The 27,004-nt window shown below is 37.4% G+C and overlaps 1 protein-coding gene across 9 annotated transcripts in view, besides 4 other annotated features; it reads left to right on the top strand.

Annotated features, from left to right (window-relative positions):
* Nucleotides 3,651-4,518: an enhancer, noted in NCBI's record as "H3K27ac hESC enhancer chr4:164087187-164088054 (GRCh37/hg19 assembly coordinates)". NCBI's record gives its function as "activates a minimal SCP1, AML or CMV promoter by ChIP-STARR-seq in naive H9 embryonic stem cells {active_cell/tissue: H9 hESC(naive)}" and the evidence as "EXISTENCE:reporter gene assay evidence [ECO:0000049][PMID:30033119]".
* The window catches only part of NAF1 (nuclear assembly factor 1 ribonucleoprotein), a 62,962-nt gene continuing 39,620 nt past the window's right edge, over nucleotides 3,663-27,004 (top strand). For 7 of the 9 annotated variants that reach the window (XR_938799.4, XR_938798.4, XR_001741350.3 and 4 more), the window contains exons 1-4: nucleotides 3,663-4,190; nucleotides 6,162-6,336; nucleotides 22,119-22,212; nucleotides 24,689-24,771. Coding sequence is in view for 5 of the 9 variants with exons in the window: in XM_011532410.4 (XP_011530712.1) it covers nucleotides 3,826-4,190; nucleotides 6,162-6,336; nucleotides 22,119-22,212; nucleotides 24,689-24,771 (717 nt within the window). In the remaining 4 variants the exon portion in view is untranslated. Of the gene's footprint in view, nucleotides 4,191-4,270; nucleotides 5,332-6,161; nucleotides 6,337-12,225; nucleotides 12,329-22,118; nucleotides 22,213-24,688; nucleotides 24,772-27,004 lie in introns of those variants that run through there. The other 2 variants (XM_047416407.1, XM_047416408.1) reach the window with 2 other exon arrangements.
* Nucleotides 3,710-3,909: an enhancer, noted in NCBI's record as "active region_22099". NCBI's record gives its function as "activates an Ori minimal core promoter by ATAC-STARR-seq in GM12878 lymphoblastoid cells {active_cell/tissue: GM12878}" and the evidence as "EXISTENCE:reporter gene assay evidence [ECO:0000049][PMID:35858748]".
* Nucleotides 3,930-4,049: an enhancer, noted in NCBI's record as "active region_22098". NCBI's record gives its function as "activates an Ori minimal core promoter by ATAC-STARR-seq in GM12878 lymphoblastoid cells {active_cell/tissue: GM12878}" and the evidence as "EXISTENCE:reporter gene assay evidence [ECO:0000049][PMID:35858748]".
* Nucleotides 4,080-4,159: an enhancer, noted in NCBI's record as "active region_22097". NCBI's record gives its function as "activates an Ori minimal core promoter by ATAC-STARR-seq in GM12878 lymphoblastoid cells {active_cell/tissue: GM12878}" and the evidence as "EXISTENCE:reporter gene assay evidence [ECO:0000049][PMID:35858748]".

The raw sequence follows: 27,004 nt of genomic DNA, 5'->3' as shown, positions 1-27,004 counted from the left end.
TTAGACAAAGATCCTGGGCACCTGAGACTTAATTTTATGAAAAAACAGACAATAAAGAAGTAAATAAATATAATTTCATGTGAAGATAAATACTATTTAAATAAAAACAGTGAGCTATAAGCTAGGAAGTGATTGGTATTGAGGGGTGCACTTAGATTGGGTGGTCTGGAAAGCTCTCTCTTAGGTGTAGTGTTTGAGTAGAACCATAAATGAGTAAAAAGGCCACGTTAATATGAAGAGAAGAGAGAACAGAAAAGTGAAAATGTCACACGTGAAGAATTAACTTGGTGAGTTGAAGGGAGATCAAGACCAGTGCTCATGTGAAACAAGGGTGGGGAAGACGGTAGGAGATAGAAACTGGAGAGGTAAGTAGTGGCCAGATCAGGTAGACTGTTGAAAGCCAAAGCAGGGAGTCTGAATTTTATTCTAAGTGTGCTTACAAATATTTAGAGTTTATAAATAATTAAGCAGGAAATTACAATGATCTTATTTATTATCCCCTGTGAAGGTCTCCTGTTTTCTCAGATTAACAAATTCATGGTTCTCTTTAAAAGTCCAGCTCAAGTATCACACGCATTGTAAAGCCTTTTGTCATTGTCAGTGAGGCAGTGGTTGGGTGGTCCTGTTTAACCAGCTTTCCTAGAGGTGACTTCTCCCATTCAGTTCTATTCAAGTCAAAGATGAGTCTTAGAGACTGTCTCATGCTTTAGTAGTTTATTCTGGCATCGCTCTTAAAAGATAGTGGGAAGAGGCTGGGGGTATAGACCAGATAGTCAGGGCTCGGATGATCAAGAGAGCCTCCAACCAGAGACTGTTCTCAGTGTTGGGGGTTTCTTCCCCCTTTTTAAAACCTGTATTCAGCTTGGTCAGTTATCAGATGTTTCTCTCATAAATGGAGTCGAAGCTATTCTTACAAGGGTAAGCTTTAAGGTTCATGAAAGTTGCATCTGTGCTGAAGTGGCCTGGTCTCCTGGAAATCACTGGGCCAGGGGTGGAAATCTCCAGGGCCAGTTAGTATTATATTGATAAATACATTTAGTGTCAGCCCCTCAAGACACTTGAGTGAGCCTTATGGCTATAATTACTCTTATAGCCACGATATATCTCTTATAGTACATTTTCCTTAATTTTCCAAGTATCTTCTCTGTCTTTAGTTTTCCCATTTCATACATTCTTGCATTTACATGGTACATTTCTCTACTATAGTACCTTCTGCTTGTTTTCAACTTGTCTGTTCTACTGAACTGTTAACTCCATAAGGGTAGGGACTGTGTTTATCTTCCTGTATGCATAGTTTATAATGCAGTGCACAGCATATCGTAATGTTAAGAAAATGATTACTGAATGAACAAATGAGTATTTCAATTATCCCATAACTTAGGCTTCTGGTCTTAACCTTTCTGTCAAATTCCAGTTTCTTATTTTTAAATGCCTATTTACATTTTTAATTGTCTAGTTTTTCTTCAGACTCAACTTCACATACCCACATCTCTTTCCAACTTCTCCGTTTAATTAATTAATTAATTAATTTGAGAGGGAGTTTCCCTCTTGTTGCCTAGGCTGGAGTGCAATGGTGCAATCTTGGCTCACTGCAGCCTTTGCCTCCTGAGTTCAAGCGATTCTCCTGCCTCAGCCTCCCAAGTAGCTGGGATTACAGGTGCCCACCACCATGCCCAGCTAAGTTTTTGTATTTTTAGAAGAGATGGGTTTTCGTCATGTTGGCCAGGCTGGTCTCAAACTCCCGGCCTCAGGTGATCTGCCTACCTCAGCCTCCCAAAATGCTGGAATTACAGGCGTGAGGCCCTGCGACTGGCCAACTTCTCCGTTTTTATTGGTAATACCAACTTCTTTCTAATTTCCTTGACCAGAAATTTTAGAGTACTTTTATTCTTCCCCTGATGCTGGGGATGTCCTTTACTCTATTTCATTGACTGTAAGCCTAGTTCAGACTTTTATCACCTAATTCCTGGAAAAATGCAACAAAGTGGCTGGCTGGGGAATAATTCTGGCTCAAACGTCTTCCCTTCTCAAATCTGTACTGCATGTCTTTGCAAGATCATTGTTAATTAAATATTTTATTCGTGAGTTCATGCATTGTTCCATTTTCCAAGTATTTTTGCACACTGAATGTATGACATGCCACTCCCTTATATAAAGCCTTACTTAGTGCTCACATGAACTAAATGAGATAGTATTTTTATCTCCATTTTACAGATAAGGAAATTAGGATTTAGATTAACTGCCCAAAGTCAGTAACACCAAACACAAAATGGTAGAGCTGAGGCCTGAACACAGGTCTTTTTAGTTGAAAACTCTGAGCTCTGCTTAATCATTGTGCTAGTAAGTTCGTATCCCAAGTTTAAAGTCCTTCTTCACTTTGGAGGATTTCCATGAAATAGCCTACCAATCCTACTTCCCATTTCTGCTGCACTTGGATTTTCTATTTCATATTTCAAATATTTTTCTAGTTATCTCCTGTGCATTGCCCTTCTCTACTTCAAGTAGATTGTAAGCTTCTTAAAACCTTACTCTTATTACACTTGCCTTGCATTTCTATGAAGATCTACTGTTGTAGATGACACACTAAATTCTCAGTGAATAATTTATAAAATCTTTAGCACAGTCCTTGGCACATATGCATGTTTAACAAATGGTATCAATGATTATTATTACTACACAGGGACTGATGCCTCAAACTGAAGACCTAATAGGAAACCAGAAAATTCTGATCTCTTCCTCAGTCCTAAGAACTCTGCTTGCTTTCTCCACAATTTAGACTAGTGGTTTCCAACAATAAGTGAGTACATTTCAGTCTCATAGTCTCATCTCTCTACTACGAAACAGTGCTAAGTATGATATAGACATCACCATAACATGAACAACACAGCAAAATTTTGTCCATTACTGCTCTCTTTGAGGGTACTTTGGAGAAAGGAAAATGGAATAGTTGTAGTTACATTTTTGAAAAAATGGTTAATACCCTATCTATCGACAGATGGATCTATTGATGGATAAACTTCATTTAACTTTCATGAAGTTACTAGCGTCTTGTCAAGACTTCCTGGCTCAAGTTTCTGATGTACAGAACTTAGCATTCTTCAGGCACCCCCCTGTTGTATAATCCCTGCTTCATTTTGGCGCTTCAAGCAGAATTGGTTCACATGCAGCAATAGGAAAATCCGACATTCAGGCCTTGAATGGTTCACATGACGCAGTGAAAACGGTCGATTTAGGGCCTCCCTAGTCCTGATTATTTTTTTTTGAGACGGAGTCTCGCTTTCTCGCCAGGCTGGAGTGCAGTGGCGCGGTCTCGGCTCACTCCAACTTCCGCCTGCTGGGTTCAAGCGATTCTCCTGCCTCAGCCTCCCAAGTAGTGGGAATTACAGGCACGCGCCACCATGCCCAGCTAATTTTTGTATTTTTAGTAGAGATGGGGTTTCACCATGTTGGGCAGGCTGGTCTGTGAACTCCTGACCTTGTGATCCGCCCACCTCGGTCTCCCAAAGTGCTGGGATTACGAGCGTGAGCCACGGCGCCCGACCCCCTAATCCTGATTTTCGAAGATATGACGCATGTATCCTGCCCCCGCGAGCGCCGTCGCGCCGTCGCGCCACATACGTCACACGCTCTTCGGAAAGCGTTGCTGCGTAAATGGCGGGGGCGTGTCTTTTGGCTCCTCCGCGTGTAGTTACCTGAGAAACGCGGGAAGTTGGGCCCAGGCAGTGTTGCTGCGGTTGCCTAAGTTGTTTTTCTATTTCTGGAGAGAGCCGTGAGCTTGTCCAGGGGCCCCAATCCTGAGGCCGACCCGGTTTCTGGCGCGGTGCGATGGAGGTAGTGGAGGCCGCCGCCGCTCAGCTGGAAACTCTGAAATTCAATGGCACCGACTTTGGAGTTGGGGAAGGTCCGGCGGCTCCGTCTCCGGGCTCTGCCCCTGTGCCAGGGACACAGCCGCCGCTACAGTCGTTTGAGGGGTCCCCGGACGCTGGGCAGACCGTGGAGGTTAAGCCTGCCGGGGAGCAGCCTCTGCAGCCCGTTCTGAACGCCGTCGCGGCCGGGACCCCGGCGCCGCAGCCACAGCCACCGGCTGAATCGCCGGCCTGCGGAGACTGCGTCACCTCCCCAGGAGCCGCAGAGCCTGCGCGGGCGCCGGACTCCTTGGAGACCTCGGACTCGGATTCGGACTCGGACAGGTCGGGTGCCTAAGGGACCCGGAGCTGTGGGGAGAGGTCTTGTATGACGGGCGGGGGTGGCTGGGGCCTAGGAGCCTAGAGGTTGCTTGTGTGGGCCCTGGAGGGTGGGCAGGTCGTTGGTGCTCCGGGCTCACGTGTTGAAGTATTGGCTCCGACTGCCCCTTATTCGCTGCCTCTCAAAGCAGGTCGCGTTGTGAATCTGAGCTTAGTACTGACTTATTTCCTAAATTTGGTGGCCTGAAGGGTTCTATGTATAGATCGTATCATTTTTTGTTAGACTTTAGAAAACCCGAGGATCTTAGGTTATTTCCGTAACTACTCAGTTTAGGCTGTACTTTTGTGGTTATAGTTGAGTTTTGTGTCAGATCTGATTTTTTTTTATCATCACATCTAGGCTTTGTTTTTTGAACCACATACATTGGGGATCAGGAAAAGTATTATTTTTTGTGTTTCAAAGCTGGCTCTTGATGATTACGTTAATTTATAGAATCCTTGCAGGGAACACGTGTTTATGAAAGTAGCCAAACAGTGTTATTTAGTAGTATCTTATGCTTCTTACGTTTTGTGAGAGCCTTTCCCCCTTGCCCCCACACCTGTCTTTTAAATATGAAATCTCTGGGCTGGAGAGGACTCCAGCATGTGGGATGTTACTAAACCACACTGAACATTGTCTACAAATAGTTGAGTGTGTTGAGTGGGGTACTGAACAGGTTAACAAGATAGACACGTGTTGAGGAGGTGAGAAGTTTAGTTTTCAGGGAAGTCATCAGCGGAGAGTGGAAGTGAAGAAGGCTGAAGGATTTGAGTAGAAGGAGAGGGTATGAAATGTACTGGGAGGGGGAAGTAACAACTGTAAACAAGGTTGGATTTCTTGGCAGTACTAAGATTGCAGTATAATCATCTTGTGGGATTTCAGAGCTCATTTTACTAGCAAAGAAAAGTAAATGGTAGATGATTTGGGGATACGTTTTGAAAGCAGAAGGGATATGGCGTCATAATAGGCCAACTTAGTGTCAGGATACTACTTCTGACTCTGTGGGTGATGGCAGAGGATACCAAATATTTGAAGAAGTCAAAAGGGGTACAACTTTTTGCCAGTTAACAGCAGTGAAATCAAATGGAAACTGAAGAAGCAGGTTTAGTTAGTATAATGCACTTTTTCTTGTTTTAACTTGCTATGAGTGTGGGTGTATAGGCCATTCGTACAAAGGTGGCCAGTATGCCGTCAGAGATTGGACATGGAGTTTAGAGATGTCATAGCTGAAGATTTAGGCGTTAATTCACATGGATGATGACTGAAATCATTAATGTGTATGGGATTATCCATGAAAGTAGTAGCGAAAGAAGAGAAAGTGAGGATGGAACCCTTAAAAATAGTATATAAAAGGGCTTCAAGTGGGGAGCCAACAAACAAAATTTAAACTGAGACAGTGGTTGCTGTTAACGATAATTTCTGTGGAAGATAAGGACCAAGTGAGTTTTCAGAAAGTAGAATGGTCTACATACTTTCGTAACTGAGGATTTCCCAAGTTGTCTGTAGCCTGAGAAGAAACTCATTAAGCAATCTGGCAATTAAGCGATCTGGTGGTTGTGACTAAGAGAGGTGCCATGCCCAGAATTCCCTTTTTTTAGTGGTTTGTCACATGCTTGCTTATATTCAGACAGGTGTATGATATGTGAGAGTATTGTAATAAGAGGATCTGGGTTATGGCAAAGGTTTGAAAATGTTATTGGTAAACTAAATACTACTTTCCCAATACCATATCAGTTTTGAAGTGCTAGTTTTGAATTAGAACAGCAGTAGTAAACATGTAGTAAAGTTGATATTTCTTAATTGCATAATCTTATTTTAATATTAGAATAAGCAATAGTAAACTTGTATTAAAGTTGATATTTCTTAATTGAATAATCTTATTTTAATATTAGTATAATAATACTGGACTATTTTTTTAACTGTTTTCTTCCCTACAGTGAAACAGATTCAGATAGTTCAAGTTCATCGTCTTCCTCTTCATCTTCCTCATCGTCGTCTTCTTCCTCTTGTATATCACTTCCTCCAGTGCTGTCAGATGGAGATGATGATTTACAAATTGAGAAGGAAAATAAGAATTTTCCTCTTAAAACAAAAGATGAATTACTTCTTAATGTAAGTACTTAGATTTATTAAGCTTAGTTTGCATGTTTTAAAACGTATTCTGGTACCAGTATTGATCTAATTTTGCCTATATCTGCTCCATAAATTTGAAATTTATTCTCAGCCTAATAGGCATGCTTTTGGTATGCCTTGGCTTTCTTATGTAAAAGAGAGTAGTGATCTGGATAATTTCTTAGGTTGCTTCTAACTCTGCTGACCTTTGATAATTGTTCCGATTATGGCATCAACTTCAGCTTTGAACTTTACATTTTTTACATTCCCTAGAAGAAGATATTTCTTATGTAGATTTGCTTTTTTTTTTGGTCTGCACGTCAGAAAATTTTGCTCAATAGCAATTGAAATTTCAATAGCAATTGAAATCAATTTTTTTGGTCTGCACGTCAGAAAATTTTGCTCAATAGCAATTGACTTTTTAATTGACTGCATTTAGAGAAGTAGAAGATGAAATTCAGAGGGTTGAACTTGTTAGGATTCCTATTGAAGTTTTTGGAGTGTTTTTATTATTACAGTTGGAGAAAACTTGTTAATTGTAGAATGGTATTTATTGGCACTCGATAGGTTTGGTTTGCAAAGTTAACTCTTGCAAGGTTATTTCCTCTTATGCTGTAAACATCCTTAGGAGGATGATGTTAGTCTGATTGAAACCTATGACCCAAGAGGAAAGCCTTCTCAGAATTTCAGAATGTAGGCCATATTATCACATTGTTTTTTTTCTACCCCTGCATGTAGTTTTAATTATTAATGCTTTAAAAATATTTAATGGTCACTAATCATAATTCTTATATAACACTTAAATTGATGAGATAGTTTAATGCAAGATTTGAAAAAATAAATTAAAGCCTACAGGCACTCAGGAGCCTTTTTCATGAATGGATTCTGCCAGTCTGAATTATTTCTCTTTTTCTCTACTCATAACAAGAAATTCTCGTCTCGCTTATGCTTTATAACTTGAAGACCTTTGGATTTGTATGCAGCTTCATCAGTGGCTCATATTTTCATGCTACAGATATGTTAATATTTCTTAGTGGTCTTTGTACACAAAGGCTCCCAGCATAACTATTTTCTGAAAGTAGGAGACTTGTTTGGTCTTTCTTGCTTGTCTCTTGATCATTTTTCTACATAATTTCCTTATTAGAATATAATAACGAACAAAGAAAAGACCACAGTACTTCTGTAAATGCATACATATCATTGTCTTACTAGATTTGCAATTCTTACCTTGGGAATTTCTTCCAATTTAATGCAAAGTCTTAGCATATTTGTTTAGGTATTTTTCTGAACAGAATGTCCCTGTTTTCATCAGAAGATCAAAAAGGATTTGTGGCCACAAGGAGTCCAAGAACAAGTTCTTTGAGGACTGAGTTCATATGTGATCCTTGTAATTCCCATAGTCCCCAGTGGAGTGCTTTATAGATAATGGGTTCTCAGGCCAAAGTAATACATGATTATAGAATGAGTGTGTGAATAGGCATTTTATATTTATTAATTCTTTAAGAAATTATTATAGCACACCTGCCATTTGCCAGGTGCTGTAAACAAGACCAGTCCAGTTTCTGCTCTCATAGTGTCTAATGGAGAGACACAGACAGTAAATAAAGTGGAGACAAATAAATTTAATTGCTAAAAATGCTATTGAATTGTGTAAGTGTATGTTTGCCTCGAAAGACAAAATTCCATTTGAATGTTATTAGATTTTCAAACTTGGAATGATGGGTTGGTCTGTTCCTCTCTGTGACCATTTCAATGGATCTTTGGGAATGATGGAAGAGGCAATTATAGTCTTTATTTGGGAAACTTATTAGAAGTCCTTCAGACCACTGTGCTGCTAGAGATAGGTAGAGGAATTGATGAGTTTCCCAGTCTGCCCTAAATCTCTGGCTTACAGGTCTGAAAGAAGATATAAGGACTTCTTCGGGGTTTCAAATCTTAAGTTTGGGGGAAAAGAATGACTTTGTCCTGAGTACTAAGGATAGTGTATAGTTACAGGTATGTAGTGTGTTTAGGAGTCTGCCTCTTTGTCCGTTTCTCAGGGCTGGCAGTTTTACCACTGATAGACTCTTGCATGAAAGTCTTGGAGTTGACTTTTGCTGGCTTATGGTCTGTTAACACAGCCTTGAACAGATCATTGAGGCTAGTGGAATGGGTATTCAGATTGCTTGGCTGTGAGTCACATAGTCACTCCTGTTTGTGTAGGCGAGTGTGTAGGAGAGAGTGAGGAGAGCATGTGTAGGAAAATGAACACTTGAAAGAGCACATGGGCTAGTGCGAGAGGGTGGGAGTGCGTAACAGCCAGTTGACAGAAAGGGAGTGTGAATGTGTATGTATTGTGAGGAGGGTGGGATGTTGGGTGTAATATCAGCCCTATATAAACCACATGGAATGGTTTATCTTTCACAGGAAAGGGAGCTTATATCCATTCCAAAAGGGGATGCTGGGCAGACAGTAACAACGGATTATACTCACTAGAGGGAAAGGGAAATACTTGGAAGTGATATCATGTACGACTTATGTTGGACTCATTGTTAGGAGGAGCAGAGACTCATATTACCTCAGGAGAAATGGAAGTTTATTCGAAAGCAGCTGGGAACTAAGGCAGCTGTGAAGGCTAGTCACACTGTTTCTTTTACATGCCTCTGGATAGTCTCACAGTTCTCTGGCATTTTATTCTTTCATTATTGGTTGGCTTCCTCTGTTTATCTATAGATTTGTTTTTTGGTTTTTTTTTTTGGTGAGGGGGGACAGAGTTTCGCTCTTGTCGCCCAGGCCGGAGCCCAGTGGCCGATCTCGACTCACTGTAACCTCCACCTCCTGGGCTCAAGCTATTCTTCTGCCTCAGCCTCCCAAGTAACTGGAATTACAAGCGCCCACCACCACGCCTTGCTAATTTTTTTATTTTTAGTAGAGACAGGGTTTTGCCATGTTGGCCAGGCTTGTCTCAAACTTCTTACCTCAGGTGATCCACCTGCCTCGGCCTCCCAAAGTGCTGGGATTACAGGCGTGAGCCACCGTGCCTGGACAGATTGATCTTTTTAATTCTAGCTTATACATGGATTTCAGTATCTCTGGCTCTAAAAATGGCATCTTTTGCTTTCAGTGTCCCATGAACTGGCTAATTAGTGTTGTATTTCCTTGCTTGCTTTTGGGACAATTCTGTTATTTAGCTTAGATTTTTTTTTTTTTTTTTTTTTTGGAAAATGACAGTCCATTCTTTCTGGGAAGCATCTCCTCTCCACAACTATTCCTAGCTTGTGTGGTATGTGCCATTTTGTTCAGGCCTCTTGATATGTCACTTAGACTTTTAGGCAGCAGAGGTTGTGTATCTTAGCTAGATGGAGCTTCAAGCTCTATGTGGTCTATTAACTATCTAATGAAATTCTGAAGAAAATTAATGAACTTTTCTGCCAAAAGATATACACAAATTAAAGTGTGCCAAACAGTTAAAACCAATTTTAGAATTTGTGCTGGACCTTCAGGGATCTGGACATAGACATGCCCAATTTAGCCCAGTTTAACCCAATTTTATGTCCAACCACTTTCTAAAGAGTTTTCTAGCAGTTTCCTATTGTCACTCAGGCATGCTTAGCTTAATTTTTACCTCCATTTAGTCTGTGCTTCAAGCAGGAATGTCGCCTCTCTGGATCTATCCCTTTAAATCTTTCCATTGTGGGTTGTTCGATCTCTGCGATCTAACTATGTACAATGCAGATCTTTAGGTAGATGAGAACTACAGTGAAATAACTTTATGATTGTTCTTAAACCTTAGAAAGATATAATTTTTAAAATTAGGTTATAACCAAATCTTGCCATCCCAAGATGTGGTTATAACCCAGTTTTTTGTTTTTGTTTTTGTTTTTGTTTTTTAATGTGAGGGTACGTTAAGGGGGAAGAGAATAAAAGAGGAATTAGCGAGCTATAGTGGCAATGAAAAAGGAGAGTCTTAAGTGGCTCTCTTCATAATGTCACAATTAATAAGTTTAACTAGATAAAATTATTCTTTTAAACATAAATTCTTTTTTAATGCTCAGAAGGTTTATATATAACCTACACAGTCACTGTAAGCAGCATACATATTACAGCTTTGGAACTACGTTGAGCCACATAGGATGTATTTAGTGTTTTGATGAATTGGAAAATTGAGATTCTTTTTAAACAATTTTATCAGCAGTTGATGCTCTGAACTCTTCATTCAAATGTATCAAGTGTAATTAAAAATGTAGGGTCATAAAAATATTTGGGATTATAATTTTTAAAGTCTTAATCAGAAATGAGTTTTATAAATTAGTGCCCATTGTTTTCTGAAAACCTGAAAGGCTTCACATAACATTTAAAAATTATTAGCACAATGTTTATGGAGATAAGAAATGGATAATACTTCAGTAGGGATAATAATGTGTCTTTAGGCATATAATGTAGCATGACCAAGAAAAAAATTAATGCTTATTGGCAATTTTGGGGGAAATTTAGCTGTCATACTTTGGTGACTGCTTATTTTATAAAATAAGTACGTTTGGTAGTTAGGTTGAGTACACTCTATTCTCCTGATTGTGGCAGTGTGGACACATTCTAAAATGTCCTAACGTGAATGTATGGAAATATCTGGACCACTCAAGTGGTTGGAAGTTGCAGTAGAATATTTCATGCCTGTTTGATCTCCCATCATATATGAAATTGTATTGCATCTTGGTCTACACTTAGTAATTATCAATTGAATATATTGTTTTCTAGGCATAAGTTGGTTTATAAATTTTGTCCTGAATGCAGGCCTCTTTTAACTTAGGTTTTTATTACTATATGTATATTTGGAACTATTAAATTCTATTTTAGAATACACTTTGATAGCACTTATTAACATTCTTCCCAAAGTGCTTGTTATTTAAGCAATGGTTTGTATACTTAAGATCATTTTTCATTAATATTCACTAGTGTTCTTCAAAAATAATTAATACTCAGGGTTTTTTAAATTAAAGTTTTATATCTTACAGAATATTTCAATAAAGCTTACATGAGGCATGAATGATTTCATAAACATGAAATAAATACTGTTTTATTCAGTAGAGTATCCATTTATGTCCTGTGTATATACATATATAATTATTATTACACAGAAACATTCAATTGTTTAGATTCCCCCATTCCTCAGTAGTTTCTAATAAGTGAATTCTGCTGATTGCTTTAGAAGATAAAGACAAATATCTGTTAAAGAGCAATGGAACTAGAGAATGAGCATATACACTTTAGCTGAAAGCAAAGTAGCACCAGAGAGTTAATGGTTGAATGTCAGATGAATGGTGTACTGCACATAAGAAGTGATAGGATTGAGTGGAAGGGGAGGTAATAAGGATTTCTGAAAAATTTAGGCTAATACTCTGTGGCATTTTACAATTATTTGGCAGTCTTTTTATCTTAGTGATATAAAATCAGTGTCTTAAAGTTGATGAAATATGCACTCAATTAACATGAAAGATAGGCTTAAAGTTATATTCATTGTTGGAGGTTTCTTATTGAGATGGACTATAGTTTTATATTTAAGCAAATTAAATTTTGAAAGTATTATGAACTTTGTTTCTCTTAACAGTAATTTTAGAGAAAAACAGGATAATAATGTATTCATTTAAAAAAGAAAAATATCAAGACACTTCAAAGAAATGTTGACCCTCATTTTTTAATTGACTTGTCTGAGTCTTAAGTTTAGTGTCATACACAATAGGGTAATTAATGAGGGGACTAATGCTTACTGGTGATAAATAGCTGAGTTTCATGGAAACTTGTAAAATTACTTCCCCTGAAGAAGTTAATGAATTAGAATACATGTTAAGTATGGTCATAGTTGACACAAAGTGTACAGACCTAATCCATTCTTTTTCCAATATGTTTTACCAGCTATAGAGAAAAAAAAAATTCAGTCATGGCTCTCAGTACTCCAGGGATTGGATCCTACTTTCCAACCATATCTGAAAAGTGAAGGCTCACCTAATAGCATCAGGTAATTGGCTGCCACGTGCATGTCCTGTGTTGGGTAATATGAGAAAAGTGGTTAGATAATTTCATCCCACCTTCCTCACTTTTCTCAATTCTCCCCAAACTGACACCAAAAAGGTTTAGTTTTCATTTGGAATGTTTGATTCCTTCTCCCACCAACCTCTGTTGTCCTTTTTCCATATTTGTGAGTGAAAATCCTACTGAAAGTTCTTTATATAATTTTACTTTAGAAAGTCATCAATTTACTGATACTCTTTTTTGCTCAATAAGCCTTCACAAATGCTTGAAAAGTCAACAGTGTTGTAAATTATAAATGTTACCTTTTCAGAGGGCCACTTTTGACATATTAGCTTCTTCCATTTTTGCATTGAAAGTTTTAGGCACCCATTTTTTGACTGGTATGTCTATAACCTCATTTTTAATAGGATGGATTTTTAATGTTATGTGGTACTCTTTTGAATATTTTGCTTAACTGAATAACCTTGTAGACCATACAGATGTTAGAAAATTAAAATATAATAATCTTACAAAACAGACAATAATTGCTCTTTCATGGATATTCCAGAAGTGTGGTTAGGATCTTGCATTTCTTTAATGCCATCGTTACGAGTATCTGTTATCACAGAAGCACAGTAATTTTTTTATTGGGATCTAGTATATAATTTCTGTATTAATGTGTTGTCTTTTTGATTACATGCAGTTGGACATTTAAATTGTCGTTAGCCATTTGTGTAACTGTTTAGAACTTGTGCTCAGTTTCCTTACTATTCGTAGGTAAGAAAAATGAAACCAGAAAGAAAGAGACTTGTCTGAAGTCATATTAGTGGGGAGGAGCAGATCTGAACTGGTAATAGATACATTCCAAACTGCTGTGTTTTTAGTATTTGTGGAGACCTGCATAGCAACGTTGGAATCTGGTCGTTTGGACTTTCTCATTATTTGGTTTCTGAATAATCATGTAGCATATTTTCTCAAAGTGAAGGATGAATGTATCATCTAATGTAAGCTTTTTAAAATTGTATTTGCTTGGATTATATTGCCTCTCAATAAAGCTTTTGACTTGGAACTGTGTAGTGTGTGGGAAATAAATGGTGGAGCTTCTTTAGTATGTTGAATTTTAGTAGTTCATTTGCGAAATGCTGTGGTGTTTGGGGATGTTTATTTCCATGCAAGCTTTTCATTTGCTAATGATGTGAATGAAATAGTTTTCTTCCTTTCCTTTCCTACTCTTTGTTATGTGTAGAAGTATTGAATAAATGAGTCCAGAAAAACTTTTTGCTGTTCTTTGATTTTTTGTTAGTAAACATTTACAAAAATTTCATTTGTATGATAAAATAGTTATTTCTAATGGCAGATAATGTACATCCAGAACAGGCTTTTAGTTGCATTTTAATTTTGGGAAACAATGAAATTAAAATATAGATTTATCACAAATCTCCATTTCCAAGTAGAGTATTCAGGTTAGCATTAAGACTTCATTAGTAATATGGTGCATGCTGTTAAAATGTGGTCTTAAAATTATACCTGTGTTAATGGCCAGAAATAAATTGATATTGTTAATGCCTGGGAATATGTTTTGTAATGGAGGGCTTTTTTGATGTGTGAGAATGTAAAGCAGTGCTGTGTAATAGAGCTTTCTACAGTGTTGGGGATGTCCATATTGTGCTGTCTTACTTGAAATGTGGCCAGTGTGACTGAAGACCAAATTTTAAATTTTATTTAATTTTAATTAAATTTAAATTTGTATCTAATATTGAGTAAACAAAACAAAAAGTCTTTCCTATCTACTCATCATTCTTTTAACAGGGGTTGTTGGTATCCAGGCAGATACTTTAATCTTTCTAATCTGCACTAAATCACCTTGTCTTTTATTTTTAGTACCCTTGGTTGTTGCTTATGTGTGATGAAGAAGGTCTTTCTATCCCAGGCCTTTCCTATCACCTCTACCTTCAATTTTTTTAGTTTATTAGTATGCCTTTTACATCTAATTCTTTGTATCTTCTGTGCACTGCCAGAGTGGTAATGTCCCACAGTATGTTTTCTGAGACCAAATTTTAAATTTTATTTAATTTTAATTAAATTTAAATTTGTATCTAATATTGAGTAAATAAAACAAAAAGTCTTTCCTATCTACTCATCATTCTTTTAACAGGGGTTGTTGGTATCCAGGCAGATACTTTAATCTTTCTAATCTGCACTAAATCACCTTGTCTTTTATTTTTAGTACCCTTGGTTGTTGCTTATGTGTGATGAAGAAGGTCTTTCTATCCCAGGCCTTTCCTATCACCTCTACCTTCAATTTTTTTAGTTTATTAGTATGCCTTTTACATCTAATTCTTTGTATCTTCTGTGCACTGCCAGAGTGGTAATGTCCCACAGTATGTTTTCTGGCCGTATTTTCCCCTTTATTGGAGTGTGTCTGTGTTTCTCTTCTCTGTCACACATATACACCCTTCCCTGAAACGTGGAAAAGCAAAGTGATTGATTTTTATTTCCTTAAAGGAGATTTTATATCTGAGGAGATTTATTCATTATCTTAGGAGGGGCAGCAGGTGTGTTTTCAGGGAGCCAAGTGTTAATCTAATAATTGTAATAATGTTTGCTACTGCAACCCAGAGGTACCTATGCATCAATCCTAGGCAGTTAAGCTTCCTTGGAAGCCTGGCTTTTAAATTTTATTTTTGAGAAGATTAGGTTCAAGTCTTTTTCATTCTTTGAGGATTCTATATCGGGTTATATTTTCATTATCTGATTTCTGCTCAGACAAAGACTGACTTTTGAGATTTTTGCTAAGCTTGGACTGAAGAGGTAGGTTAGTTCATCTAATAGATATATATTAATACTAAATACCTACTATGTGCTAGCCATCTTTTTGGGTGCTATAGCAATGAGCAAGACTGGGTCCTCGTTATGATTGGGACTAAAAAGGTCTTAGTTATGGTTGGATTTATTGTGTAGTTAGAGAAATAGACATTAAGTAAATACAGAAATATTGGACAACAATGTGTTTAGAAAAAAGCAAAGCAGCAGGATAGTTTGATAAAGAATGACTAGGCTTGGTAGTGATACAGTAGATTAAATTTGCTAGTTGAAAAAGAGATGGTGACATTTGGCATTCATACATCAAAACAAAAATCTTATATTACCTTGTCTGACATGGCTGCCAAAGGAAATCGCTTTTTGTACCTTTCAGAGATCTATCCCCTTTGAACCTTCTAAAGTTCTCTCTGAACCTGCCAAAAATTTTCATGGAAAGCACATCTCTTGGGTGCCTTCCTGTTGGCGTTTGAGTTATTTTTCCTCTTTGTTCTCCTCTCTCGCTCTGTTTTTTTTTTTTTGTTTTTGTTTTGTTTTCTGAGATGGAGTCTTTTGCTCTGTCGCCCAGGCTGGAGTGCAATGGTGCGATCTCTGCTCACTGCAACCTCCATCTCCCAGGTTCAAGTGATTCTCCTGCCTCAGCCTCCTGAGTAGCTGGGATTACAGGTGCCTGCCACCATGCCTGGCTAATTTTTGTATTTTTAGTAGAGATGGGATTTCATCATGTTGGCCAGGCTGGTCTCAGACTCCTGACCTCAGGATCCGCCTGCCTTGGCCTCCCAAAGTGCTGGGATTACAGGCATGAGCCACCATTCCTGGCCTGTCCTCCTCTCTTAGCATGCTCATTTAAAAGAAACAAATAGATCTGTTTTCCCTTAATTCAGACCTCCACATATGTGCCTTTTTCAAAATTAATATATACTGCTTCATTTAACTGTACTTTCAAAGGCAGACTCTATAACAGGATCTTAACCTGGAATTATACAAGGATGGTTTCACTTACCTCTTACATATTTTGTATATACTATTTAGTTTTTATATACCTTTTATGTTTTGTGGAGTATTTGGGGCGAGACTTCATGTGCATCACTTTTATAGGTAGAGTTGTTACTATCAAGAGGCAACTTAATGCCATCACTGGCCTTTTTTAGGAATGCACAGGAAACTGTACGTTCCTATATTACAGAGTACTAGTGTGTCCGGAATTGGTAGGTTCTTGGTCTCACTGACTTCAAGAATGAAGCCGCAGACCTTCGCGGTGAGTGTTACAGCTCTTAAGGTGGTGCGTCTGGAGTTTGTTCCTTCTGATGTTCAGATGTGTTCGGAGTTTCTTCCTTCTGGTGGGTTCGTGGTCTTGCTGGCTCAGGAGTGAAGCTGCAGACCTTCGCGGTGAGTGTTACAGCTCTTAAGGCGGCATGTCTGGAGTTGTTTGTTCCTCCCAGTGGGCTCGTGGTCTCGCTGGCTTCAGGAGTGAAGCTGCAGATCTTCGCGGTGAGTGTTATGGCTCATAAAAGCAGTGTGGACCCAAAGAGTGAGCAGTAGCAAGATTTATTGCAAAGAGCGAAAGAACAAAGCTTCCACGGTGTGGAAGGGGACCCGAGCGGGTTGCCAATGCTGGCTGGGGCAGCCTGCTTTTATTCTCTTATCTGGCCCCACCCACATCCTGCTGATTGGTAGAGCCGAGTGGCCTGTTTTGTCAGGGCGCTGATTGGTGGGTTTACAATCCCTGAGCTAGATACAAAGGTTCTCCATGTCCCCATCAGATTAGTTAGATACAGAGTTTTGACACACCAGTTCTCCAAGGCCCCACCAGAGCAGCTAGATACAGAGTGTCGATTGGTGCATTCACAAACCTTGAGCTAAACACAGGGTGCTGATTGGTGTGTTTACAAACCTTGAGCTAGATACAGAGTGCCGATTGGTGTATTTACAATCCCTGAGCTAGACATAAAGGTTCTCCAAGGCCCCACCAGAGCAGCTAGATACAGAGTGTCGATTGGTGCACTTACAAACCTTGAGCTAAACACAGGGTGCTGATTGGCGTGTTTACAATCCCAGAGCTAGATATAGAGACTCTCCACATCCCCACCAGACTCAGGAGCCCAGCTGGCTTCACCCAGTGGATCCCGCACTGCACCGGGGCTGCAGGTGGAGCTGCCTGCCAGTCCCACGCCATGCGCTCGTACTCCTCAGCCCTTGGGTGGTCGATGGGACTCGGCGCCGTGGAGCAGGGGGTGGTATTCGTCCGGGAGGCTCGGGCTGCACAGGAACCCACGGAGGCGGGGGAAGGCTCAGGCATGGCGGGCTGCAGGTCCCGAGCCCTGCCCCGCAGGAAGGCAGCTAAGGCTCGGCGAGAAATCGAGCGCAGTGCTGCTGGGCTGGCACTGCTGGGGGACCCAGTTCACCCTCCTCAGCTGCTGGCCCGGGTGCTAAGCCCCTCACTGCTGGGGGCCAGCAGGGCTGGCCGGCTGCTCTGAGTGCGGGGCCCTCCAAGCCCATGCCCACCCGGAACTCCAGCTGGCCCGCAAGCGCCGCGCGCAGCCCCGGTTCCCGCTCGCGCCTCTCCCTCCACACCTCTCTGCAAGCTGAGGGAGCCGGCTCTGGCCTTGGCCTGCCCAGAAAGGGGCTCCCACAGTGCAGCGGTGGGCTGAAGGGCTCCTCAAGTGCCGCCAAAGTGGGAGCATAGGCAGAGGAGGCGCGGAGAGTGAGCCAGGGCTGTGAGGACTGCCAGCACGCTGTCACCTCTCAGTAGGATCACTGAACTGGTATTGGAAATATGGTGGTGATTTCAGATAACAGTGTCTATGTCTGTTTTCCCCAAAGTTTGGTTCTACGCAAAATCAGAGAACCTTCACCTTTGTGGGCAAAACTTTTCATTCTTCCAGTACATAGGTTGGAAACATGGAACAGCAACAGGAACTAAGAGGGCCTGCCAGACACTGTTTTTGACCAAAATTGTGAGACCCTGACTCACTACAAATAATCTGGCTTTATATATTTTCCCTTATCTTGGTCATACTGGATGTCTCCTAGTACTCTTTAGAGCAGAACATCAGGACTTCATCAGACCTTGTAGACTGAACTGCTCAACTTACAGGAAATTACGTTATAATGATCTCAAAATGATAAAAGAATATTTGATGAAACTCAACACTTATTTCTGATTTTAAAAATTTTATTAAAATTGGAATAGATGGATACTTTCTTAACCCATTAAAAAGAAATTCCGATAAAAATGCATCATTATGCTTAGGATTTGGAACATTCCTATTAGCAATGTCCACTGTCATCACAATTGTTTCATATTTGAGATTCTGGAATTTGGAATTGTCAACCAGTATCATCTGAAAAATGAAAGCCATGTACTAATATTGAAAAGAAGGACAACTTACTCTTTGAAAATATGGTTGTATAATAAATATACAAGAAAATTACTAAAAGTAAATTTCAGCATGATGCTTTCTTATGTTCAAGCAATACCCTATAAAGGGTCTATTTGTAATAGCAATAAAATATATTAGATAGGAATTTATAATAGCAAGTAATATATAAAATAGCTTGGAATAAGCCTAAGCATTTGTATAGGACCCTTTATGAAGACAACTGTAATTAAATGTGATCTCAATCAATACTGATAACACTAATATGACAAAATAGTTCTGAAGTGTAGTGAGATAAATATGTGAGAACAGTTAAAAAAAATTCCAAGGGGAAAAATATTTATGGATTGGGTAAAGGAACTAGCCCGTCATCTCAAATATTGAAATGTTTTATGAAAACCACAGTTGTTAAAATAGTTTAGTACTGACACTGAACTAGATCAGTGAAATTGAATGGAGATTCAGTAAAAAACCCAAATATATAAGTGTACTTAGTATATGTTAAAGTTTGTTTTTCAAATCAGTGAGAGAAAAGATGGATTATTCTACAGCATGTCAGGATAACTGGCTAGTAGTTTGGATAAAGATAAAGCCAATCACTGCTGCACTTTTATACAAGAATAAAATTGTGAATGGACCAAATACACAAATATTAAAAAAAAAAAACTAGAGAAATAAAGAAAACAATAGTGAATTTTCAGTGATTTTGGGATAGGGAGGACCTTTCTAAATGTGACACAAGTTTCAAAAGCCAAATATGTATATATACTTGACTACATAAAAATTAAAATGCTAAAGGTTAACTAAATGACTGAAATTGTTTAGTTTCTTTAGCTAAAAAACATGCTGTGGGGTAAGGGAGTGGATATTTGCTACATATTTGATAAAAGACAAATGTCCTTGAAAATCCAAAGGTTTTTTTTTTATAAATTAATAAAAGATAAGCCCTTAAAAAATATGTAAAGTTATACAAGAAACAATTCATAACACACATAAAAATGGCCAGGATACATGCAAGGATGTTCACTCTTCTTTATGAATGAAGAAATTCAAATTAAAGCAAGATACTATTTTATATTCATAAGACTGGCAAAGATTTAAAATTTACTTATCAGTAATGGCAAGGTTGTGGGGAAATCTCTCATACATTGTGGAAATGTGAATTGACGTGACTTTTTAAGAAGAAATTTAGCAGTAACTGTCAAAATTTTAAATATGCATGTGTTTTAGTCTATCAGGACCACTTAAAATAATTTATCACAGGGGTTACACAAAGATATATGTAAAAGAATGTTGTATCATTGTGTGTAGTGGCAAAAGTTTTGAAAGGGCAGATATATGTTGTGTCAGGCAGCTAGTGTATTATAGTACCACTGATAAAAGTGGAATATCCTAAGTGTTTAAGGATATATGTTGTGTCAGGCAGCTCGTGTATTATAGTACCACTGATAAAAGTGGAATATCCTAAGTGTTTAAGTAAAATTAGATATATGTTTTTGTTTGTTATAGAAAGATATGCAGGGTATGATCAGTAAAAAGGGTACCTTGTATTAAAATATGGATATTTTATTTAAGTAAAAAATATTTTGAAGTTAGAATTAAAGTTTATATCTGCATAGTAAAGGTATTTGAAAGATACATGTTAACATTAGCTGTCTATGGGGCTTGGCACTGGGTGGTTGAAAGGAATAAAGTAGGGGAATTTTCACTTTTTACTTTGTATCCTTCCATAACTGCTTGAATTTTTCCTTTTGTAAAAATAGGAACATGTTTTACTTTTTTACTTTAAACAAACAACAAAAGCAAAACAGTATCAGTTTAGATTTATATCAAAGCATAACTATTATATTACATGGGCCTTTATTTCTCATAATAGAAAATACAAAACCAGGGGCCTTTCCTGCTGGTTAAATAGCACTTGTTTATTTGAGAATATTTAACCAGTAGGCTTTATCCCAATCCAAAAGTACTCAAATTTTTGTTTTAGATCTTATAATTTGGCTAGGTAATGGGACAGATTTTATCACTGTACTTCTGGATTAGCAAATGACATTTGCCACTTAACAAGAGGAGCCACTCCCAGAACCCGAGTCAATGTGAAACTCCCCTCACAATTGCCCTCTGAAATATCATTAAAGCCCTCTTCTCTGCAGTCCCCCAAAATTATAGTTATCCAGTCTTGTATTTAACAAGGTTTGAGATTGCTTTAGCTAAGAACTTCTGTAAAAAGGCTATTTAATGTCACAGTTTGTTCTAACAACTAAACTCCCTTCTGCATTCTGATACACACATGAACCATTTTCAAACCATGGTCTTCCCAAGATAAGGCTTTCCACGTTTAATATGATGAAAGGGCAAGTGGTTATTCTCTCTTTGAAAGTACTCATAAGAATTCTGATGGATAAAACAAAATAATTTCCTCTAACACCAGGCAGACTAACCATACAAAGGCATGTTGCTGACTTCCTTCTGCATCAGTTGGTTGAGACCCGTAGTGTTGCTCTCCATAAGTAATCCTGTATCAGAAAATAGCATATCCCAGAAACAAAGTGTATTTTAGATGTCTGCTTATCAACTCTGGTTGAATGATTTTAAGAACCTAGTTTAAGTTTCCGTAGGGGTAATATGATTACTCAGGATGCATTCGTCTGCAGTATACTTCATGTTATGTAGGTTTTCCCACCTTTTCCAACATTTCTCCAAAAGTTATCCTTCTCCCAGTTTAACTGCTAAAATGCCATTGGTAGGGTCTTTGCACTTCAAGCCATCTTGAGGAAAAGCTTCCTTCTGAGAGTTAGATCATTTGGCAAGGGTCAAGAACAGAAAGCTGTGTTTTTAATCTAAAGGCTAAGGTCAGATTTATTCTTAGATTTCTCTTCAGATTCATCTGTACTTCAATATCTAGTTTCCATAGCAACTGAGATGCAGTTTGCAGGTGGGTAAGAAAAGAGAAATCTTTAGGTGTAAAGAAACTTATTTTTTAACCTAGAGAGAGAAGGTATCAGGCAACACCTTCATAGTTTTTATAGGCTAAAGCCTATATTCTTTTTTCAGGACTTCAATGTTTCACTGATAGGTGTCATTTCCTTTTTCCTGAAGAGGCCATTCAACTCTTCTTGACACAGTCGCAGAAAAGATTGCTGCTTCTGTGTTCTGTTTAATCACAGTCAAACTAATTAACTAACCAATTTAACAAGACAGCTAAAAGAACTTATGTGGAGAAATTATAGTTACTAGTAGAATTATTTCTTTTCAAATGGAATGTCTCTGCCTGATAATAGCCTTTTTTACAGGAAGTAGGTAGTCTCTTGTTCAAGTGTGACTGAAAGAATGTAGAATAGTACTTATGTCTGTGTTCTTAGTCTAACTGAATTTGGGGTGTATACTTGAGACCTGTTGAGTCACTTAGGTGGAGAAATGTTGGAGGGAGAGAAGTGCTATCACAAGTCTGCAACCACTAAAATGATAACATTAAAGAGATGCTCTAAGCACTTAAAGCATTTTCAGAGATGTGTAGCACTTAAAATGGAAAATTTATTTTTTTTAAGTTGTTGAAGCTGGAGGAAGTTTAATGTTTTGTTTTGTTTTAAATTATAGGAACTGCCTTCTGTTGAAGAACTCACTATTATTCTGCCTGAAGATATTGAGTTAAAGCCTCTTGGGATGGTTTCAAGTATTATTGAACAACTAGGTATGTTAAGAATTCTATTAATAAAAATTGTTTCCAAACACACACTAATAATTGAATCAATGACTTTTATGACTAGTAAATTTTCTTTGACATACGTAATTAACACTTTATTTTATAGTCATTAAGTTTGAAGGGATAAAATTCAGTTTTCATATACTAAAATTATATATAAATACAGTTTATTTATAGAAATTTAAATGTCTGCTTTTACTGACATACTTCCTCCGGAATTTCCTTTGATTTGGTTTATTAGTTTTCTAATGTTGCTATACCAAATTACTGCAAACTTAGTGACTTACAGCAGCACAATTTTATCATACAGTTCTCATGTGGGTCTCAGTGGGCTTAAAATCAAAGGTGTTAACAGGGCTGAGTTATTTTCTGTAGGTACTAGGGGAGAATCTTACTTCCTTGCTCTTTTTGGGTTCTAGAGCCTGCCCACATTCCTTGACTTTTGGCTCTCTTTCTTCATCCTGAAGGCCAGTAATGTAACGTCTGTCTCTGAGCCTTCTTCCATTATCTCACCTCACTCTAACCACATGTGGAAAGGTTCTCTGCTTTTAAAGACTTTTTAGATTGAGTTTACCTGCATAATCCAGGATAATCTCCCCTATCTCGTGGTCCTTAACTTTAATCACATCTGCAAAGGCTCTTAAAAATGTAATGTATTTACAGATTCAGGTATTTAGAGTGTGGATATCTCTTGGGGAGCCATTCTGCTCACCACCTTTGATTTTGTCTTAAAAACATGTGAGAAAGTTTTGTAATTTAATACTGTTATTAATGGCATGAAATATGAAGTTGCTGAGTTATAAGAGAACTTAATATTTTAGACTTCTTTAGCCCCAACATGTGAGTTTGTTCTGTGAGATTCTTGTTAATATAGGTACTATTAACTCGTAGTAGGATATGCTGGAGAATAGAACTCAGCACTGACAAAGTAATAGGATTTTGGAACTGTGAAGAGGACCTAGATTGCCCACCAGCCTCCACAGGACCTGAGGAAACAGAAAAATTCAAGTCAGTTGCTCTTAGGACCAGTTGTATAGTGAGTCAGTGGTAGAAATAGGACCTTTTTCTTTTGACTTTTTTCTAACAGTGTCTATATTGATATTTTTAAAAATTAACACTTACATAATTTTGTACTTTTTCAGTTTATTAATAAAAATGTAGATTAAAATGAACCTTCTTTTCAAAAATAATAATTAAAATTCTTTCCGTGATTCTGGAATCATTACATTTACTAGTTTTAGAGTTATGGTATTTAATAATATATATAGATAAATCAAACAGGCAACTAATTTCTTGATTATGTGGTATGATTTAAACATTTATTAGACTTGATGTATACAGAAAAATTTTAGGTCATAATGTTGATCCTCAAAAAAATAAATGTAAACTCTGACGTACATGGAATAATGCATGTCATTTTTGCATTTTTAACAATACTATTTTGACTAACATAGACTGAAAAAATTCTCAACCTAATGGGAATAAAGAGTAAATGGGTCAAAATCAGCACATGCTACTGTTGCAGATTTTTAATAGAGATTTTTAATAGAGACAAGGTCTTGCTACGTTGCCCAGGCTGGTCTCAAACTCCTGGGCTCAAGCCGTCCTTCCTCGCCAGCCTCCCAGAGTGCTGCAGGCGTGAGCCACCGTGCCCAGCCTGAAGTATCCACTGTTAAAATTAATTGAGATACAAAAGAAATTGTTTGAATTAATTTTGATAATCTGAGGTAATATATTTTATTCCCTTAGTTGACATGGTATTATCTATGTAATGTAACAGTGTTCTTACTTGTGGCTCTGATGTTCTAAAAACTTATTGAGAGTGTGTTTGTGTGTGCGTGTGTTTTCTCTTTGTTATGGTAGATCAGTTCTTTAATATTTGTGTCATTTAAAAGAACTGGAGATTTGGAGATTATGTTTTTGCTTTTTGAGGAGGGAATTTTCATGTAATGATAAAAATTACTGTGAGCTCTAGCACTTTTACTTCTTCTGTTCATAGGAAGATGCTTTTGTGAAGCCTTTTATTTAACTTTTTCATATACCAGTAACTAAACAGTGCTTTGTAGAAAAGAATTTTTAAGAGTGAGAAAGAAGACTAATTTCTTCTAAAACAGTTTTACAACTAAACGTGATTACACTATTTTTGGTAAAAATTACTTGAGAATATGTACATAGCTTGAATTTGTTGAATCTTTAATGGATGATTCAGATTTTCTGTGGGATTTGCATTTTAATTTTTTTCCCTTAGAATTATAGCTTTTTGTATTAAAAATAGGTATAAAAACATTTCCCAGTGCTATTTGGTAATAAGTAGACTTTGTTTACTGAAGAGAAAATGGTTAATGAGGTAATAATCCCACCTTCAATTTTTTTTTAAATTATGTTGGAATTAAAGCTTAGATTTTCATTAAAATTCTACATTCTCTTATAAGTAAATCTTGAAGTAATCTATTTTATTTTTCAGTAATAATTGAATCTATGACTAACCTACCTCCAGTTAATGAGGAGACTGTAATTTTTAAAAGTGATCGACAAGCAGCAGGAAAGGTTTGTAAAACATTTCAAATCTTACAAATTATTCTATTTATTTATTGTTTTTTTCTGACTTTCCCCATCAGTTCTCAGAAGAGTTTATTTATTTTAATTGATGGACAATCTAGAGCTCTCTAATTTCAGTACGTTCTTGATTTCCTTTAGTACTTCATATCTGTCTGTAAATTGGTTTAATACTGATTATTACTCTTTGCCACATGAGTTATTAAATACACATATATAGAATTCTTTCCTAGTGTTTGTCAGATAACTTGCTAGGCAGTGAGTCTACGTAATGCATAACACATCGTTTCCTACCGTCCAGATACTCAGCTGAGTGAAGAAGACTTCCCATAGTATAGTAGCTCTTAAGCATTTTTGTTTTGTGAGCTCCTTTGAATAGTGGCTCTCAGACTTTTCAGACTTTGACTTCCTCAGGTGGAAGCTCGGTGTGGAATCTTTTCCAAGTGGAAAAATATTTCACTGACAGCAATGAATTGTCACTGTAGGCACATCCTGGGGAATTACAAATATGTGCATTCAAGTAATTACTATAAGATTTGGTCCCTTTTAACATCTTTCTAATGGAACAACCCTGCATGTCCACCTTAATGTAGAAAACTGTGCACTTTACTCAGCAACTAGGCAATTCTGACTGGTTGGCAGAAGACATAAACATTCTAAAATCAAGAATGTAAATACTAAGTAAGTATTTATTTCCTGGCAATAGGGACAGTTTTATTCACCTTGATATTCCCCATTGTATCTAGTACAGTTCTTTGTAAATTATTTGTGCCAAGTAAATGTGTATTGAGTTGAATACAAACAAATAAGAAAGGAGCTATTTGTGATTTTCATGACAGTTGTCTTTTTTTCTTAGTACCTAACTTAGACAATTTTAATCTGAAAATACTCAACACTTTGCTAAATTAAAACCTCTAAACAGACATTTTTTTTGTATTTCCCACTACATTTGAATTTCTAGACCTGTAAATGTGACTAATATTAATATTCAGCTGTCATTTAGATTTGAAAGGAGTCAGATAAAATATAACATTTACACCTCTAACTTTAGTTATATGGCATAAGCCTGTTGGCAAAAATTAAATCTATTTCTAAATTTTACATAGAATGCTTTATAAATGCTTTTGAAAGACTTTGTGACAAGTTTTTAAAAAATACTTGATTATAAATCTAAGTGCCTTGAAATGATTCTCCAAAATAGTAGTGGGAGTAGAGATTAGAAAGTATTTGTTAAACAAACCAATAACCAGAATATGAAACTGAGTACCTTTTAGATTATTAGCATGTCTTATCTAAATACTAAATTAGTTTTACCTTCAGTAGCAAGCCATCGAACATCTTTTCCCTCTTTTCTTCAGTAACACGATAGTAATCAGCTACAGTGATATTTATGTTATCTTTTTAAGTTCACTGAAACCCTGCAAGGAAGTAAAATTACCTCTATTTTAAAACTTGAGAAACCTTGCTAAAAAGTCACAAAGCTGAAATGGATGAGTTTACAGCCCAGGTTCATTTCCCTTCCACCTCCCTTTGCCTTCCCCACTGATTAAGGGAGGACAGTCTCAGATTTTTATTCCTACCTTTGCCCTTTAATCCTAAGAATTGCTAGTTCCCTTGATGAACTAGTGAAATCTGTTTCCTTCTCATATATCAGTGGGTAGGAAATTTTTACTGATTCCTTTTTAAACGATTATATTACTGTCTTGTTTGGTAGGATGTGATGATTTTCTAGAGGACTCTGTATTATATTGATGGAGTGTTGTTCCCCACCCCCTCAGTTCTCATGACATATTTCAAGGTAACTTATGATACAGTAATACACACAGTGATTGAAATGATCAGTTTGCCTAACTAATAGATTAGAATACTCTATTCGTCTGTATTTTCTTCATTTTTGTTGATGGGAATTGAAAAAAGCACAAAGTGATTGATAAAAGACAATGTTGAATAGTTGTAAAGGTTCATTTCCTCATTTCCTTTCTCCTTTGGCAGTTTAGCCCAAAGCTGGCTCACCTAGAGAGACATTGTTTGAAGGCTGTTCCCAGGTGGCAGCATGCAGACCTTGGCCCTTCACAGGCACAGCCTGCCAGCATTGTTCCTAGGCCTGGAGATCCTTGATATATTTATTGTTACTTAGAGAAACTAGGATTTACCTAGTCCCCTCCTAGATAATAGAAAAACTGGGAGTTACCTAGCCCCCTCTAGATAACTTAGTAAGTTTGTG

Source organism: Homo sapiens, chromosome 4 (genome assembly GCF_000001405.40).
Source record: "Homo sapiens chromosome 4, GRCh38.p14 Primary Assembly".
In the NCBI taxonomy this organism is placed as follows: Eukaryota; Metazoa; Chordata; class Mammalia; order Primates; family Hominidae; genus Homo; species Homo sapiens.
This window is presented reverse-complemented; position numbering and strand designations above follow the sequence as displayed.